This window comes from Homo sapiens, chromosome X, assembly GCF_000001405.40.
Source record: "Homo sapiens chromosome X, GRCh38.p14 Primary Assembly".
Taxonomy (NCBI): Eukaryota; Metazoa; Chordata; class Mammalia; order Primates; family Hominidae; genus Homo; species Homo sapiens.
The window spans coordinates 13,585,951-13,605,075 of NC_000023.11; the positions used below are offsets into that span (position 1 = coordinate 13,585,951).

The 19,125-nt window shown below is 40.3% G+C and overlaps 1 protein-coding gene, 1 non-coding gene and 1 pseudogene across 3 annotated transcripts in view; all 3 read left to right on the top strand.

Annotated features, from left to right (window-relative positions):
- EGFL6 (EGF like domain multiple 6) overlaps positions 1 to 19,125 on the top strand; it is a 63,975-nt gene that overhangs the window by 16,350 nt on the left and 28,500 nt on the right. For both annotated transcript variants that reach the window (NM_001167890.2, NM_015507.4), the window contains exons 2-5: positions 3,606 to 3,718; positions 8,886 to 8,978; positions 14,025 to 14,144; positions 17,367 to 17,486. In NM_001167890.2, coding sequence (NP_001161362.1) covers positions 3,606 to 3,718; positions 8,886 to 8,978; positions 14,025 to 14,144; positions 17,367 to 17,486 — 446 coding nt within the window. The remainder of the gene's footprint in view (positions 1 to 3,605; positions 3,719 to 8,885; positions 8,979 to 14,024; positions 14,145 to 17,366; positions 17,487 to 19,125) is intronic.
- Positions 4,342 to 4,396, top strand: MIR6086 (microRNA 6086). The gene has a single exon (NR_106734.1). It is a non-coding gene; the product is annotated as a microRNA 6086 (primary transcript).
- Positions 10,286 to 10,521, top strand: RN7SKP20 (RN7SK pseudogene 20; annotated as a pseudogene).

Below are 19,125 nucleotides of genomic sequence, written 5' to 3' on the forward strand. Positions count from 1 at the left end.
TATGGTTAAGAAATGGACTTACTGTTTATCTATGTGGAAGGGGTTTTTCACCAAGGTATGGGGATAGTTGTTTTTACCAACAAATTTCAATCTTGTTTTCAAATCTTAAAAACATCAAAACAAATAACCCAGTTAAAAAATGGGCAAAGGACCTGAATAGACATTTATCCAAAGAAGATATACAAATGGTCTATAAACACATGAAAGACACTTAATAGAGAAATGCACATCAAAACAAGATGCTACTTCTCAAGCATTAGGATGTCTAGAGTTTTTAAAAATGAACAATAACAAGTGCTGGTGAGGATGTGGAGAAATTGGAACTCTCATATATTGCTGATGGGAAAGTAAAATGATATAGCCATGTTGGAAAACAGTCGGGCAGTTCTTCAGAAAGTTAAATATACAACTATAATATGTCTTAGTCAGTTCAGGCTGCTATAACAAATTACCATAGGTTGGGTGGCTTATAAACAATAGAAATGTATTTCTCACCATTCTGAAGGCTGGAATTCCAAGACTAGGGTGTCAGCATGGTCAGGTTCTGGTGAGGGCACTCTTGGGTTGCAGGCTGCCGACTTCTCAAGCTCTCTAGCCTTTTCTTATTAGGGCACTAATCCCATTCATAAAGGCTCCAACCCCATGACCTAATTACCTCCCAAAGACCCCACCACCAAATACCATCACATTGGGATTAGGGTTTCAATATATGAATTTTGGAGGACACAAACATTCTGTCCATTGCACCATATGACCCAACAATTCCACTCCTGTGTATATACCCAAGAGAAATTAAAACATATGTCCACACAAAAACTTGTGCACCAATGTTCATAGCAACATTATTCATGATGACCAAAATGTAGAAACAACTTAAATGTCTATCAACTGATGAGTGGATAAATAAAATGTGGTATATCCATATTATGGAATATTATTCAGCAATAAAAAGAAATACAGTACTGTTACAAGCTACAACATGGATCAAACTTGAAAACATACTAAGTTAAAGAAGCCAGATACGGAAGGCTACATATTGTGGGATTCCATTTATATGAAATATCCAGAACAGGCAAATCCAGAGACAAAAAGCAGATTTGTGGTTGCCAGGAGATGAAGGGAGAAGTTAGTTAAGATGAACTGCTCATAGGTATAGGGTTTATTTTTGGGGTGATGGAAATATTCTGGAACTAAATAGAAGTGATGAGTGCATAACATAGTGAAAATACTAAAAACCACTGAAGTGTATACTTTAAGAGGGTGAATTTTACGTTATGTAAATTATATCTCAATTTTTAAAATACTAAAGTAAAAAAATTATTAAGGACATCACTGTATTTGGACTGGCACTTATTTACTCAGCATACTTTATGGTTAGTTGCCCATAGTTTCTTCTTTTTTACTGATACAAAATATTTTACATATTTATGGGGTACATGTGAGTGTTACATGCATAGACTATATCATGATCCAGTTGTACTTGGGGTACCCATCAAATACTCAAATACCTTGAGTATTTACCATTTCTATGTGTTGGTAATATTTGACATCCTCTCTTCTAGCTACCTGGAAATTTACAATACATTGTTGCTAACTGTAGTCACCCTGCTGTGCTACAGAATATTGGAGTTTATCATAGGTTCTTTGGAAACTGTTAGGCGCAGACTGGGTCAAGATTGTGGTATCCCTTGCAGAATTGTTAGGAATATACAAATTAGATTAGACACATGGCTGCATTATTTCTCAGTCAAAACTCTTTAGCAGAGCATTTTAATAATATTTAGCATGCTATCCTATACTTGAATGCATATGTTTCCAATAGACTGTGAACTTAAGAGAGCAAAGACCAGGCCCTTTTCGTCACTGTACTCTATGTGCCTGAGACAGTACTTGGTACATAGCAAATGCACAATAAATGTTTTGCTTTAAAGTACTACTACTTAATGAAAGAAAAGTTTACCTTCCAGGGGACATTTGGCAATGTCTGGAGACATTTTCGTTTGTCAGAACTAGAGGGGTGTGTGCTACTGGCAACTGTAGATAAAGACCATTGTTAAATATCCTACAATGCACAGGACACCTCCCAACAACAAACAATGATCTGGCCCAAAATATCAGTTGTGTAGAAGTTGAGAAACCCTATTCTAAATGTTTGAGTGACTTATGAATCCCTAAAATTAATTCCATTAAAAAATGAAAAAAAGTTCTCTTCAAGAAAAAGTAAATGTTAAAATCATCCTCCCATTTGGTGCTCTCAGTAAATGAAATGTCTCAGACCATATCTTTATAGCTCTTAACTGAGTAATCACATTTGTGGGAGAGGCAGATCTTGAGGGAAATCTACAAGGTTGTTTAACTTCCCGACCTTGACTTAGATATTATTAACTTGCATGAAGTTCAGTTCTGTAGCAGAAAGCACATGGTAAAATGTGCATTCCTTTGTCTGTTAAAGAGCCCAGGAAACATTTTTACAGTGTATTTAATATGTGTAAGGAAATAATCACAGCCCTCCACTAAACATACAATGCAAGTATTTTCCTTCAAAGTCTGGTAGCAACCCTGTCCAATACCAGGACAGTAAGTAGGTAAACATGCAGTGAGCTTCATCCATGGCGGCACTACTTGGGGGCACTTGGTGGGGGACAGGGGGCTCACCTTTTTCAGGCATCTAGATCAGGCAAGCTACAGCCTGCTGGCCAAAGCTAGGTGATCCCCTCTTTATAAACAGCCCATGAGCGAAGAACAGTTTTTACATTTTTAAATGTTAGAAGATGGAGCAAAAGGAGAATACCATATCATGACACAGGAAAATTATATGCTATTCAAATTACAGTGTCCATAAATAAAGTTTTATTGGAACACAGTCATGCGCATCTGTTTACTATTGCCTATGGCTGCTTTTGTACTTGGACAGATATCTTATGGCCCTACAAAGCCTAAAATACTTACCATCTGGCTTTTTACAGAAAATGTTTGCCGATCTCTGCTCTAAAATTAAGCAGTTTAGCAAATTGGGTTTCCAGGAGGTCAATGGGAACGAGCCCTGGGCTAGAATTCCCAACACCCAGCTCTGCTGGGGATGTGACTCCACTCCATTGGACTGGAGTTTCCTCCTCTGTAACATAAGAGGGCTTTGCTGAACGAGCCCTTCCAACTCTTAATCATCTATAGTGTATGTTGATTCCAGTCTATTCAATGGTTCCCAGGTGCCAGTGGGATAAAAGTGCAGAGCTCTGGTCTGGGACAAAGCCACAGGATTAGAAAGTGACTGAAATAGACAAAGAACTGGATAGTTGCTGTGCGTATACAGAGCAGATCTGAAAAGTGACACTCTACAAGGTTCAAAAACATATACTTTGGACATCTTCATGTGCCCTAGTTTTATAGATTCTTTTAACCGTGGGGAAGAAGGAAATGGTTGAAACTAATTATTGAGGAAGGCTGGCAACCCCAAAATTCAGGTTTTCAAAATCTAATTTAGCACTTACTGCGGGTTCGTTGAAATTAACCAGGTAATTGACATCTCTGGTTCTTTTAGTAGTAGGGAAGAGTTTCTGTTGTCTTTTCTATTTTCTCAATACTAACATGTAGTTCTTTATCTGCAGTGCAAGGCATCACGGGTTGTTAGCATCGGCACGTCAGCCTGGGGTCTGTCACTATGGAACTAAACTGGCCTGCTGCTACGGCTGGAGAAGAAACAGCAAGGGAGTCTGTGAAGGTAATTTTGTAAAAACTCAGACCCTGCACTTGGATCAGGGCCCTTAGGTTTTTATCTGTCATACCATGAACTGCCACAAAATTGCCAGTGGATCTCTCAGGCAAGGACATGCATAACTACCAATAACCAAGGTCTGGGTTCCTATGAGATCTCTTCCCAGACAAAATGTGGCTGACGCCATCATACTTGGCATGATTTATTTTAGAAGACTGTCTTGTCAATTATTTTTGTGATTATCTTAATGAGTATGACTGGGTTGTTTGTTTTTGGTTTTCTTTTTAATCTAAAGGAACTAAGATGGGCAAAAGCAGGCTGGTAAATTTCTCCTCTAATTATAATTTAAGTGATTTCCAATGCAATAAACTTTAATTATTAATCACCCAACCAGTAGGCTTCAGCCACAAAATAAGTACACCTTTTAGCTTATAGATTTGTAACTCACATTTTTAAAATTCATACTGCCAATTTCTAAATGCTTTCAAGGTACATATGCATATATGCAAAGATTTTAAGTATTTTGCTGATTTTTTTGTACATTGCAAACCAAGGAACCATAATTTGCCTTGGACATTGTTTCTCAGACTATGTGTTAGGAACTCCGAGAGAGGCCTCTGATCATTTCAAGGAGGTTGGGAAGGGCAGAGATGAGCATAAAGTTTTTGCCTTGTTTTTCTTTTTATGACTTTCCATAACGACCAACACTGGCAGTGTAGCAGAACCAAATCCACATTCCTCCTGACTGTCTCACCAGGGGTGTATTCCTTCAGGGCAGTAGTCTACTCTCACTGTCCCTGTGTCCTTCAGTAGGTAGCATGTGCCTCATCCTAAGTTATTTATCTATTAAATGGGATAACAACACAGTTGCAGGTCCCATAAAAGCACTAACATGTTAGCTATTTTTAGGAATAACAATGCTACCTTCTTTTTGCTAGTCTGTTCCTGCCCCAACCTCCTTCTCTCTGGCTGGTTAAAAAATATCTGGATTGACCATAAGTGGGGTCAGAACTTGATAATATCCAAAATCTATAAAACAATAGAAAACATTGATATCGTTCCCACATGTTCCATATTATGCAAAACCTTCTGCCATCATAGTTTGCTTGTGACAAGATGACAAGAGCATAAAAATACTAGACAAAAACAAAGATCATCATTGCCCACTTAGATAAAGGAAGTTAGAATATCCTCCTGGGACTTGTGTCAATTAAAAGGGTGGGTCCTCATCCTGATTGGATTGATAGTGTCATGATCAAGGGCATTGAGAACCAGACTGACGTGGGTGACCTTGGGCAAGCTAGCTAAGGTAAGCTAGCTAAGGCTCAATTTCCTCCTCTGCAACCTGGAGAGAGCAATACCTACCTCTGAGAGTAAGGAATGTATGCATTAAAGGGTGAGTTCATTACCTGGCATGCATAGAAAATACCTCATAAATTACCATTCCTTCAGGAAGGACCAATAATTCTCATCACAGACTTCTCGTCATTAAAGCACCAGGTGATGGGGGGATTAAATGTGGCTTTATTCTTTTGCTAGACACAACATAACACATTTTTATTTGAAGTCAGTCAGGTGGAAAGGGGCAAAAACCACGTGAAACACATGATTTAGAGTCTCTCTTACAGTTGCACGAACATCAGCGTCTACTGCCATAAAACTTGTGAGACCCAGCATGTCGCTGGTGAATAAATGAAGGCAAGGTGTTAAAAGGGCAAGTGCAGGGGGTTCAAGCAAAATGCTCACTATGCAAGTTTTGCAAGCTGAAGAGACGGTCAGCACACCTACTGCTCCAGTCAAATGTTCAGGTCTTAAATTGCAATGATTTTTAGATCTAAAATGTGTATCATGTTTTATCCAATTTGCATGGTCCTTCTTGATGGTAAAGTCATGTTTCTTGAAGCACCAAATAACAGGGTAGTTATTCCCTGATTGCTGGGTTTCTGATTTCTAAGCCAGAGTTGTGGGATGCATGATAATAAGAATACACATCAACCTGCCCCAACAAGGAGAGCCAGACCCCAGGCTGTGAGGTCACAGTCTACCCAGGCCTTCCCCTCTGTCCATCTATTTGCCCTTCACTCCTTTTGAAGCCCTGCCTCTATGTATCCTGGAGCCTTCTAGCTCTCAGCCTCTACCCTGTCTAAATCTCCTCCCAAGGCAGGGTCTCATCAGTTCGATATCATTAACCTTAAAATGTATGCCACTTCAGTGAGATGAAATACAGAATTGTCCATAAACAAGTACCTGATGAAAAGCTTCAGATAGAGAAGTTTGGGGGAGAACCAAATAAGACTTTTACTTTGTCTAAATCATGCTTCAATCTCAGGCCATTTTAAACACAAACTGAATTTCCCTTGCTGTCGATTGGCTGTTGAAGTCACAGATCCAAAGTTACTGTAAATTGAAAACATCTTACTGAAGCTTTAACCTTATAGCAAGGGTATTATTCACCATTTCTCCTATGTTCTATTTGGCATTTATGCTGGGCTTTCCTGTCTGGACCACATTGGAAATCAGTTTCCAGGGAACAACTAGAGGTCTTCAGGGCTTAAAAAAAAAAAAAAAGATTTATTTTTCTAACATCTGAATTTAAAGTTGCAACTCCAAGTACATATCCATAACAAAGTAGACACTGGAAATTAAATTCTCTCTCTTTTGTCTCTAAAAGTGGAAAAACCTTGCTGGGGAAGCATTTTTCCCTTATGATTTGTTCAGGGCCATAAAATGTTCCCCCATTAAAAGTTCTACAGTAATTACTTTATTCATTATTCAAAAATATTCAAATATTTAACATGTTTACAACACTATATTAAATGCTACAGGGGAAACAATGATGAATGTTTAAGTCCCTGTCCTGAAGGCACTTGGAAACAAGTAGTGGATGAAAGACAAGCACTGTAGCCAAATATATGCCTCATTATTTAATAAGACAAAAACTGATCAGTTGCACAGGAGAGGCCTGCCAAAGTTCTGTGGAGTTCTCGAAGTTGAGTGGGCATTCATAGGTGGCTGGAGAAATCTGTAAAGGCTTTTAGAAGAAGGGGCCATGCAAGGTGGTCCTTGAAGAATGGGGAGGATATGAACTACTGGAAACCCAGGGAAGAGTATCCTAGGGAGGGGTAGGAAAAGGTAGAAAGTAAAGGGTAGGTCTAGAGAATAGCAAGCAATATCTTTTGCCCACAGTGTTGCCTTTGTCGGGGGGGTGGGGGGGCTAGAAAAGAAGGGGGAGGCCAGATCAGGCTAGGTTCTTTCTTTTTTTTTTTTTTTTTGACAGAGTCTTGCTTTGTCACCCAGGCTGGAGTGCAGCAGCGCAATCTCAGCTCACTGCAACTTCTGCCTCCTGTGTTCAAGTGATTCTCCTGCCTCAGTCTCCCAAGTAGCTAGGATTACAGGTGCCCGCCACCACGCCTGGCTAATTTTTGTATTTTTAGTAGAGATGTGGTTTTACTATGTTGGCCGGGCTGGTCTCAAACTCCTGACCTCAGGTGATCCACCCTCCTCGGCCTCCCAAAGTGCTGGGATTACAGGCTGGAGCCACCATGCCTGGCCAGATCATGCTAGTTTTAACTTGGTTATGATACCTGTACTGTATTCAGGAGGGAACAAAGATTATATTATGACCTCTGTGCAAGGCGTGGCATGATCAGAGCTATGCTTTTGGACTATTAGTTTAATGTCGTGTCTGACATAAAGTTTGCTAGGAGCAGAGCCTGAAAGGGGGATTCTTGTACAAATATTCCATTGAAAGGTATCTTACGAGCAATTTGCAAGGGAGTGAGGGAGCATGGGAAGCGGCTAGGCAGAGATATGGTTTCAGAAGAAGTCTAGCTTCAGCCTGATCCCACAGGGACCTCTAGGGGGTTAATTGCACCAGAGTTTGTCCTGCCAAGAAACAAGGAACTAGGCTGTTAGACTCCTGCATCAGTGAGGCACTGGTCACAAGCTGTGGTGGGGAAAGCAGGGAGAGGGATTCAGCATCATCTTCCAAGTATCTGTGGGCAAGGTAGTTCCCATTAGCTAGATAGATAGTTGTTCAATGAATGAGTTGGTGGTAGAAACAGGGATAGGATGTTGCAACTGAGTGGTCTGGAGACAAGAAAAAATAGACAACTGAATTTTTTGAGTCCAGGTAACTGGTAGAGGAATGATGATAATAACAAAAAATAGGATCTGGGGTTGTAGGGAAAGATGCTGGTATCTTTAAGAATAGGCTTTCTTAGAGGTGGACCTACTGTGAGCCAGGGGAATTGATGGATGGAGAAGTAGGCACCATTCCTGGGCAATTGCTGAGTCATTCTTTCCTATTATGGCTATTTCTTGAGCTCCTACTATATCCAGAAACTGCTGAGAGTCCTTGATACCCTAAAAGTCTCCTTTCTCTCTCATATATTATATCCTCTCCCTTTCTACTCTTGAGGCTTTCCCATTTTCCTTTTTTCCTATCTACTGCTTTTTCTCCTTATAACCTCCCTGTGAGCTGGAATGAAATTGTCCATCATCTTTGACTGTTTGTTTTCTTGCCCCCAACTGAATCGGTTATAACATCCTACCCCTGTTGTTTTTCCTACCACTTTATTCATTGAACAAATATTTATTGTCTACTTTGTGTCAGGAGTTGGGATACAGAAGTGAATAAAATAGAAAAACAAATCCTACCTTTGTCATGCTTTCTCATGCCTCCATCATCATCCTCATCATCATCATGATGCTTTTAGTTCCCATCCTTAGGGCTAGAAGCAGCACCTTCCTCCCTCCAATCTGTTGGTTGTTCAGTCTGACTGATAATGTGCAGCATTAAAAGATTTTGATCATTTAAAAGAGAAATGGAGAAAATATGGAGGAGATGAAACGAGGCAAGAGACAGAAGGAAGGGGAATGACGTTGGCATTTGCCCAGGGTTACTCTGGAGTCTCTTCCAGTTCCAACATTATACTTATTTTATTAAATCTTTTGTGTTTGCATGCAAAACTGGCTGACTGTGGTCTGGAAGGCTTTATATTTCATTGAATACCACTGGAAGTGTGGTATTGCCTCCCTTCAAAGGGAGGCAGATTGTCCTCTGTATGTCCCCATGGAGTTCTCTGCCACACAGAACGCAGCGAAGTTTTGCGTGCATTTCACTACACTAACTACTGTTCTTTTATCATCAAGACATCTTTTCCTTCCACAGCTACATGCGAACCTGGATGTAAGTTTGGTGAGTGCGTGGGACCAAACAAATGCAGATGCTTTCCAGGATACACCGGGAAAACCTGCAGTCAAGGTCAGTAAGGTAGCCCAGGGTCATAGTTCAAATTCAATCATTGCAGCAGGGCTGGCGACTCAATATGGTACGCAGGATTTCTTAGGGTTTTTTTAAAGTCAAATCTTCAAATGAAGGTGCTTTCAGGACAAGTTTTTCAATCTCTTCTCCTTGAAAAATGTAAAAAGTCTGATGTTTTTGTCAAGATGCCCAATAAAAGGCCTTTTTTCTTTTCTTTTCTTTTTTTATCTTTTTTAAATAAGCTAAAGGTCTTTTATATTTTTTACTTTTTTATTTCATCTCTTTCCGTAACACAGAAAAAAAGAGCCTTTTTAAAAAGTAAATAATTTTATTGCTTTTTAAACTACCTATGTATTATAAGTATATTTTTATTTTTAAAAATCCAGCAGTGCAAAAAAATATAAACTTAAAAGTGAGAGTGATCACCACTAGTTTTTACTATAAGCATAGTTAAGTTTGTCTTAGATCCTGGAAGTCTTTTTCTGTGATAGTATAAATGTAAGTTTTTCTCATAGGCATCTTTGCATGTCAGCACACACAGAACTACTTTACATTTTTTAAGGCTGTATCCTAGTCCCTAGTGTGAATACTTTTATCCTTTGTGCAAAAATGTGCTTTATTTAACCATTATCATTTATGTTGTCTCCAATTTTTTGCCATTACAAACAGTGCTAAATCTAACATTGTTCTCTGCATAGCCCTGCTTTCTTGAATGAATATTTTTGTAGGAAAAATATTTAAAAGTGGAATTGTTGGGTTGAACAACGTGCATATTTTTATTATACTTCATATACTTTTTTTTTTTTTTTGAGACAGAGTCTCGCTCTGTCACCCAGGGTAGAGTGCAGTGGCGTGATCATGGCTCACTGCAGCCTCAGCCACCTGGGCTCTAGCAATCCTCCCATCTCAGCCTTCTGAGTAGCAGGGACCACAGGCACACACCACCATGCCTGGCTACTTTTTACAGTTTTTGTATAGACGAGGTCCCACTACGTTGCCCAGGCTGGTCTTGAACTCCTGGGCTCAAGCCATCCTCCCGCCTTGCCCTCCCAAAGTGCTGGAATTAAAGGCTTAGCCACCACACCTGGCCTTGATATATCATAACAGATAATTTATAACTTTCATCCTAGATTGTTTGTCTGAAAACATTAAAGAGATGATAATATCTATAACAGTGGTTCTCAACCTGGGTAATTTTGTCTCCCAGGAAGCGTTGCCAGATAAAATACAGATACCAAGTTAGATTTAAATTTCAGATAAACAACAAATAATTTTATAGTATATGTTTGTTCAAAATAGTATATAGGGGATGTGAGGGTGATCTGGCTGTGACATCTGTCACCCCATTGCTCACCTGGGTTGATTTGGCTGATCTGGCTGGCTAGGCAGATGTCCCCTTCCTCCCTCACTGCTCCATGTGTGTCCCTCCTGAAGCTGCGCGCTCGTGTGGAGAGGACGACCATCCCCGATAGAGGAGGACTTACCTTCAGTCAAGGGTATATTAGCTGTGCTCCCCTGCTAGCACCTCCAAACAAGCTCTCAAAATAGTATATGAGAAGTGTGTATACTTTAAAAGTATTAGTCATTTATCTGACATTCAAATTTATCTGAGAATCCTTTACTGTTTTGTTTAGAGATGGGGGTCTCACTATGTTGCCTAGGCTGGAGTGCAGTGACTATACTGCATCCATGATCTCCTGGCCTCAAAGCAATCCTCTCGCCTCAGACTCCTGACTACAGGCACACACCACCACACCCAGCTGGAATCTTGTATTTTTATTTGCCAAATCTGGGAGCCTTATCCCGGGCAACATCTGGCAGTGTCTGAGGACATTTGGAGGGGGTGCTACTGGTGTCTAATGGGTAGAGATCAGGGATGCTGCAAAGCACCTTACACAATGCACAGGATAGCAGCACCCACAACAAAGAATGATCAGACCCAAATGTCAGTAGTGCCAAGGCTGAAAAACCCTGCTGTAAACGTGGTGAATAAAAGTGCCTCATTGGAGCAAGGGATATGGTCTTTGCTATAGATCAGCAGATTTCAACTTGGCTGATTTTGTCATCCACAGGATACTTGACAATGACTGGGGACAATTTTGGTTGTCATAACTGGATGTGGGAGGTACTCCCGGCATCTAGTGAATGGAGCCCAGGGATGCCGCTAAACATCCTGCAGTGCACAGGACAGTCCCCACAACAAATAATGATTTGTGTCAACGGAAGTTAAGAAACCCTGGCATGAAGAAATCTTCAATAATTCAGAAAGGGTCCCCAGTCCTATAAGGAAGTTGAACAAAGAGCAGTAAATCCAATTCAGCTGCCCTTGGAGAATGGAGTTTCAGAGAAGACTGGACACCCACTCCACTCTACCACTCCCAGCCCTTGCTGCCAAGCCCAGAGGTTAGCCCCATAAACTGAAATAGCCGCTCTTTGAGCTGCCAGCCCTACAGTCTCGGAGAGCAATCTGGCTCTCTGCGTCCTGCCACCAGCATAGAGGCCAGAGCCCTGGAGATGTTTCTTAGAATTGCATGCAATTGCTTGAGAGAGGTGCTTCAAGAATCGTGCATTCAGGGTGGGCACAGTGGCTCACACCTGTAATTCCGGCACTTAGGGAGGTCGAGGTGGGTGGATCACTTGAGGTCAAGAGTTTGAGACCAGCCTGGCCAACATGGCAAAACCCCATCTCTACTAAAAATACAAAAATTAGCCAGGCGTGGTGGCGAATGCCTGTAATCCTAGCTACTCGGGAGGCTGAGGCAGGAGAATCACATGAACCTGGGAGGTGGAGGTTGCAGTGAGCTGAGATCGCGCCACTGCACTGCAGCCTGGGCAACAGAGCGAGACTCCATCTCAGAAAAAAAAATCATGCTTTCATAAGTAATAATTCAGCTATACCCTTCACCAGAGGTTTTACAGCAGAAAACTTGGTTTTCCATATGTTTTGGATTCTGAACCAAGATACTGTCTCAAGAGATTTGGAATAGAGACAATATTTTCCACGCTAGTTTTAAAGTCTCAGCAAAATATTAACGTTGAGGGAGTGGTCCAGTTGGATCAAGTTTTGAGGCAGTCTGTTTTCTTCCCACAGCCTCCCTGCCCTGTGGCAGCCTGATCAAAGTCCACGTACATCCATTAATGGTGACAGGCCTCAGCCCTCAACTCATGTCTTTCCCAAAACACTCTTCCAAGAAATGAGTGAGTCACCTCAGAGTTAGGGCCAAGCTATGGGATATTCCTGGGTTTCCCGTTATGTCCAATCAGCATTTTTCAATTTCCCCATTTGAAGAGGTTAGGTTCTATGAGGGAGATGGTAGGGTAAAGGGGATAGGCAGTGGAGAAGAGGGTTTCAAATGTCCAGCTAGGGCACTGGAAAATCCCCATATAAGGATATTTTCAGAGATGAAAGCAGCTCCTTATTTTCAAGAATCTGTTACCATGCTGACCTTTTGCCTTCCATGGAATTTGTTTGTTTTTTTCCTCTCTGTATGTTCCCTGGTAGAGTTAAGATATGAAACCCTCACATGACCACATTTCCAAAGGCGACATCCTCTACAGATAATCCTTTTTAAAGTTCTATTTTCCTTCTGTGTCATTTTTTATTTTAATAAAAATGTTACTTATTCTTAAGTTGTTGTTGTTGTTGTTGTTGTTGTTGTTGTTTTAGAAAACAAAAAAGCACAGAGAAGAAAGTCACCCTCGATCTTACCACCTGAAGATAACCATTAGTCGCATTTAGAGCATACCCTCCTAGGCTTTTCTTTTCCTATGTATTTTTTAAACCAATTTTGGAATGATCTGTACACAGAGTTTTGTAACCTTCTTTTATCACGTAACATCCTGTGAACGTCATATGTATATATTTCATATATATATAATTCACATATATATAATTCATATATATATTTCATATATATAATTCACATATATAATTCATATATATTTCATATATATAATTCACATATATATAATTCATATATATATTTCATATATATAATTCACATATATATAATTCATATATATATATATATTTTTTTAAATCATCCAGCCCAAATGTCATCCTGTGAACATCTTTACTTAGGATTAAATATTGTCCTCCAACTTCACCACTAAGAGCTGTCTGACAGGGCTCCCTCTAGAGGAATGTGAGCCAAGGCAATTTGGCCAGTGCAGGGGCCAGCCAAAATAATAATCGACAGGAGGCTGTGCTGTCAGCTTATGTCAGCGGCTGCTTGGGATAGCATGAAAGGCAGAAATATATAAATTATCTATTTCTAAATTATTGTTCAAGTAGTATACACATAGAATTGTGCATATATAAAAAATGTATGGCTCGATGAATTTTTCTAAATGCCCATGTCACTAGTATCTAGATCAAAAGCCAGAAACTTGGCCCTTCAGAAGACTCCCTCACACACCTTCCAGTCACTTCCACTGCCAGTGAGAGAACCATATGTTGACCTCTTATATCACAGATTAGCTGTGCTTATTTTTTAACTGTATATAAATGGACTCATACAGTATATACACGTTTATATCCAGCTTCCACTCAATATCATGTTTGTGAGATTCATCCATTGTTGCCTATAGTTGTCGTTTGTTCAGTTTCATTGCTATATAGTATTCCATTGTGTGAATATACAAGTCATTTATCTATTCTTCTGTTGGGAGGTGTTTGGATTACTTCTAGTTTGGGGCTATCTAGTATCATGCTATTATGAGCATTTTAGTATGTAGGGGAAATCCCAGGACTGGAATTTCCAGGTCATGAGTATGTCTAAATATAGCTCTAGTAGATTCTGCCAAGCAGTTTTCCAAAGTGTTGTACCAATTTACATTCCTTCCAGTGGTGTATAATTATTCCATTTGCTACACATTGTCACCAATCCTTTAAAATGGAATTTGATGGTCAGAGAGAAGGTGGGTAAGTGGTGGTGTTCAGGGAAGCTAACCCAGTTGTCCTTTCCAAGACTGGGGTCTAATATTCCCCATCTGGAAGTTTCCTGATTCAGTTCACCTTTCCCTGTTTTCTAAATGTCCCTGCAGATGTGAATGAGTGTGGAATGAAACCCCGGCCATGCCAACACAGATGTGTGAATACACACGGAAGCTACAAGTGCTTTTGCCTCAGTGGCCACATGCTCATGCCAGATGCTACGTGTGTGAGTAAGTTTCAACAGCCAGGCTGATCTCAGTCAATGTTTAAGGCTTGGCTTTTGCCATTTGATGCTTGGGGAAAAGCTGACTTCAGTGATTTTTTAAAAAATCTCTAATATTGCCCCCAGCTAAAATGTTTTGTGGCACTTGTTTCTTTCTTTCTTTTCCTTCCTTTCTTTCCTTCTTTCTTTCTTCTTTTTTTTTTTTTTTTTTTTTTTTGAGACAGAGTCTCGCTCTGTCACCCAGGCTGGAGTGCAGTGGTGCAATCTGAGCTCACTGCAACTTCTGCCTCCTGAGTTCAAGCAATTCTCCTGCCTCAGCCTCCCGACTAGCTGGGACTATAGGCACATGCCACCACGCCTGGCTACTTTTTGTATTTTTAGTAGAGATGGGGTTTCTTCGTGTTGGTCAGGCTGGTCTCAAACTCTTGACCTCAGGTGATCCACCCACTTCGGCCTCTCAAAGTCCTGGGATTACAGGCGTGAGCCACCATGCCCAGCTTCCATAATTTTTTTAAAAAAGTAAGTGCTGATTGGGCACAGTGGCTCACACCTGTAATTCCAACACTTTGGGAGGCTGAGGCAGGTGGACTACCTGAGGTCAGGAGTTCAAGACCAGCCTGGCCAACATGACGAAACCCTGTCTCTACTAAAAAAAAAAAAAAAAAATACAAAAATTAGCTGGGCATGGTAGGGCACCTGTAATCTCAGAAAGAAAAAAAAAAGCGGTAAAATAATGTGAAATTCACATTATTTTAAATTTCAAGTGAACAATTCAGTGGCTTTTAGTACATTCACAGTGTTGTACAACCATCACCCCTATCGAGTTCCAGAAGATCTTCATCACTCCAAAAGGAAACCAGACCCAGTCACTCCTCACTCCCCCTCCTCCAGCCCCTGGCAACTACAAATCTGCCTTCCTTCTCTAGGGATTTGCCTATTCTGGATGCTTACTTTATAAATAAAAAGGCAAACTAGGAGAAAAATTAATTATATATCTATATCTGCATCTATATATATGCAGAGCCCTGTTGAGTTTCCTCATGAAAATAAGCACGTTGAACAAAATAAGCAGATTGTTTTAGGGAAGTGATACATTTAAATTCCTTCTCGGAACATCAATTCTTCCCACCAGCTAACTTTCTCACGCCCCTTGCCCCACTACCAAAGATTAGTGATACTTGTTGGAAATACATTCCGACTTACTCAATTCCTTGAAAGAAAAGCCCTTCTGTGATAAAGAAAAACCCATGTCCTGTGGGAGAGTGAGAGTCTATACCCATTCATTTATTGAGAGGGAAGGCTTTTCAGGTTTTATGTTCCAGTTGAAAGGGAAACCCACCCTCCCTGCCTGCCTTCCCTTCTCCCCTTTTCTCTCTCCATCTTTCTTTCCTCTGCCTTGCAGCCCCCAACAAACCCAGAGCCTGTGCCTTCAGCCAGCTTCCTGTGGTTGCGGAGTTGCACAGACTCCCCAGCCCATCCTGGGTTTTCCCGAGATTATAAAATCTTGCCTAGTGCACGGGCTCCTCCTTGGCAAAGTGTCCCAACACCACCAGTCACGTAGATCTTCTGCTAGCAAGCAAGCATTTGAAAATGGGCATTGGAAGGGCCTTTTTAAAAAATCCTTATTATTATAAATTAAACAGAAACTCACAGGAAACAAATGCATAGTTTAATGAATTCTTATAAGGCAAGCACCCTTGTAATCATCACCAAATAGAACTCTGCCAGAACCTCCTCCTCCCACCCCTCCCTAAAGGGAACCACTATCCAGGCTTTTATAGTAATCACTTAAAATTTCAAAAAAGATGTACGCTAATGGATGTTTCTGAAACATTCCATGAAAACCCAGTCAGTGCCAAAAAAGATATCTTTCCTCAAATGGAAAGATAGAATTAGGTTAATTTTGAAGATTAATTTTAAAAGAAGACAACTAAAGAGAAAAGATGAAAGAATAAAGGAGTAATATAATCATAGGTAGATGTTTGTTATAATACATTGGGTCTCTTTCTGTATATCTAGGGGTTACCTGTGCCTCCCTGTTTATAGCTCAAAGTGTCCAGATAGCCCTAGAACTCTCTCCTGGATGCTGATTGGATTCCACCAGGCCCCTTGGGTCTCTTTTGTCCAGCTGGGTGATTGGCACGTTCTGGAGGGGGATGGAGGGAGGGAGTACATTCACCATGCCCCTCTGTTATGGACATTGGGCTGAAACCATATGAGTTTCTTAGCCCCCCTGCATTTCTAATCCACACATACTGGACTGCTGCTATAAAAATGCATTTGTGTAAGATAAGTTATATTTAGCAACAAGTGACAAAAAAGCCAAGTAAATTGTCTCATTTACTTTAAAAGCTGAAGGCAAGCAGTTCCAGAGCAGCTCAAGAAGAAGTCCATCTCTGTCATCCTCAGAGTATTGATTTTACTCTCACACTTGTGGCCTCATAGTTACAATATGGCTGCCCTAGCTCCAGACATCACACACACATGGAAAATAGACAAAACTAAGTGGGTACGGGTGATGCCAATGAACCAATGCCTCTTTCATGCCTGTCTCTTTTTATCATGCAGTAATATCTTTTCCAGAAGCCCCACTCCCTCCAGTGGACTTATTTTTGTATCTCTTTGGCCACACTGCATCATATGGCCACTCCTTGCTGAAGGAAAGCTGGGAAAAGCCTCAGTGCTGGGAATGGCAAGAGAAGAGTCCAGAATGGCTTTCAGATAGCTGATCAGCTATATCTGCCACACGTTTTAGTTCAGTCACCTAAAATATCGAGTCTTGTGACTTAAGTGACTCTCACTGAGGCTAGATATGTATGGAGAGCTCTCCAGAGTAGATTCTTTTACCCTGATTACTCAGGTTGATAATCTCCATCAGCAGTTGCAATTCAACCTACTGAGGCCAGCCAGGTGACATAAAAGAGTGGCTAGAGCACACACAAGTGGAGAAAGTGATACAGTTTGAGGGGTGCATGCTCTGCCTAAAGACAGTCAAATTCAGTGAAGTGGCCAAGAAAGCAGACCATGAGTAGGATTCAGTCCCAGGGCCACCAAGATGCCACCCCTACTGATCCCTTTTGGCTCTCCATTTGGGACTCAGACAATGAAACTTGTCCTATAATGCCATGCAACGTGTTCCATTCAATGGCTCAGAATTTGGTGATAGTTTCTTAGTAAGCTCTTTTTATCATCTCAAGAGAGAAAGGCTAATCCTTGTCTACTTTTTCAGACTCTAGGACATGTGCCATGATAAACTGTCAGTACAGCTGTGAAGACACAGAAGAAGGGCCACAGTGCCTGTGTCCATCCTCAGGACTCCGCCTGGCCCCAAATGGAAGAGACTGTCTAGGTACAACAGCAGGAATCACCTCTACTCCTCCTTCTCCTCCCTTGACTCCCCTTTTACTGAATCTTTTTTCATTCATCACAATCAGCTTGTTGACTAGACATTGGAAACTTCTAAAAGTACAGATTTATATCAGTTTCTGAGATACTTTTAGCCACATATGCTCTAAACATACTTTGGGATGCTAAAAAACACATTTTTCTATTATTTTGTATTGCCTTAATGCCATAGTAGAAAAGGGATAATTTTAGTATATTTACTATGTACATTTTATTTAAATTACCATCCAATATAAACTCCACTACTTATATTTTGTCATTTAATGAGTAAGGTCCTAAGGACCATTGGGTTTTATTCTGGGTTCTAGCTAATATTTTCTGGAAAAACTATATTTACTTATTTTTTAGATATAACATTATTGAAAATAGTATACACCTTCTATATAATTTACATTAGCATGTAATAAATTTCATGTTGTCTTTAAAACTTGCTCCAAGTTATATGAACTAAGTATAATTAATTTAACTGGAGAAAATGAGCAGATTAAGTCCATAATATTAATTAAGGGAACATAAAAATTATTTGTTTATAACTTTGAATTTAGTCAAATTCATTGGCTTAGAACTTTCCTCTCTTGTTCTCCTTTGTCTTATTTTGTGTCTTAGTTTTGGGTTCCACAGAAGCTGACCCTGAGCAAGTAGTTGATTTGGGAGGTGATCCCAGCCTGAAATCCCAGCCTGAAATTCATTCACTAAGGAATAAAATATTTATTTCACATAGATTAGGGCAATAGCTGACTGGTACCAGAATCTTATGAGTAAGATTCTGGTTGAGGAGTAGGGAAGTAACCCAGGGAAAGGAAGGCACCAGTGTTGGGTAAATCTGATGAGCAGGTTAAATGAGCTGGGGGCACCTCTGGGAGGCAGAGAGAAGCTGCCCCTGAATTTTCCCTCTGGGGCAGGAGTGCTGGATATTCATCCACCAACTTCTGCCCTTCATTGATGGGAGGCTGCTCTGGGACATGACCCCCCAGCACTCCCAGCCTAGCCTGGGTCGGGAGCAAAGCACAATGTTGTAGGTGCAGCAAGCAGCCTTTGGCAGGTATGGAAACTTGAGTGCTGAGGAGCTATGGATGGAGCACCCACAGGGCACCCTCAGTGACTGAAGCAACACTTTTTTCACTTTGTGCTTTGGTTCCTTTGTGGATTTGAATTATGTTCAACCATCAAATTGCCATCAAATTGTATATACTCATAACACTTAATTACATTGCACCTAATATACATAATATTTAGAGTAAGTGAGCACTTAGCATTAATGAGGGATGTCAAACCAAATCAGAATGTTGAAAGAGTTCTTAATCTGTGATTTAAAGAAGCACATATCAGTATGATTTCATAATCTTCTTCACTACAATAGAAATATTTTTCAGTCAAGGTGCTAGATGTTTATTTATCCTAACTATACATAATGTAAAAAAAACTGCATTTAGAAAGCTCAGCCAAATGGATCCTAAATTAGCTAAACACTTTTTAAAAATATACATGTAAATTAAAATTTTGTCTCTACTCTGAGAATAATCAAAGGTTTAATTAGGTTCACAGGATTTACTACTTTTTAGTATAATAAGATTTATATGACA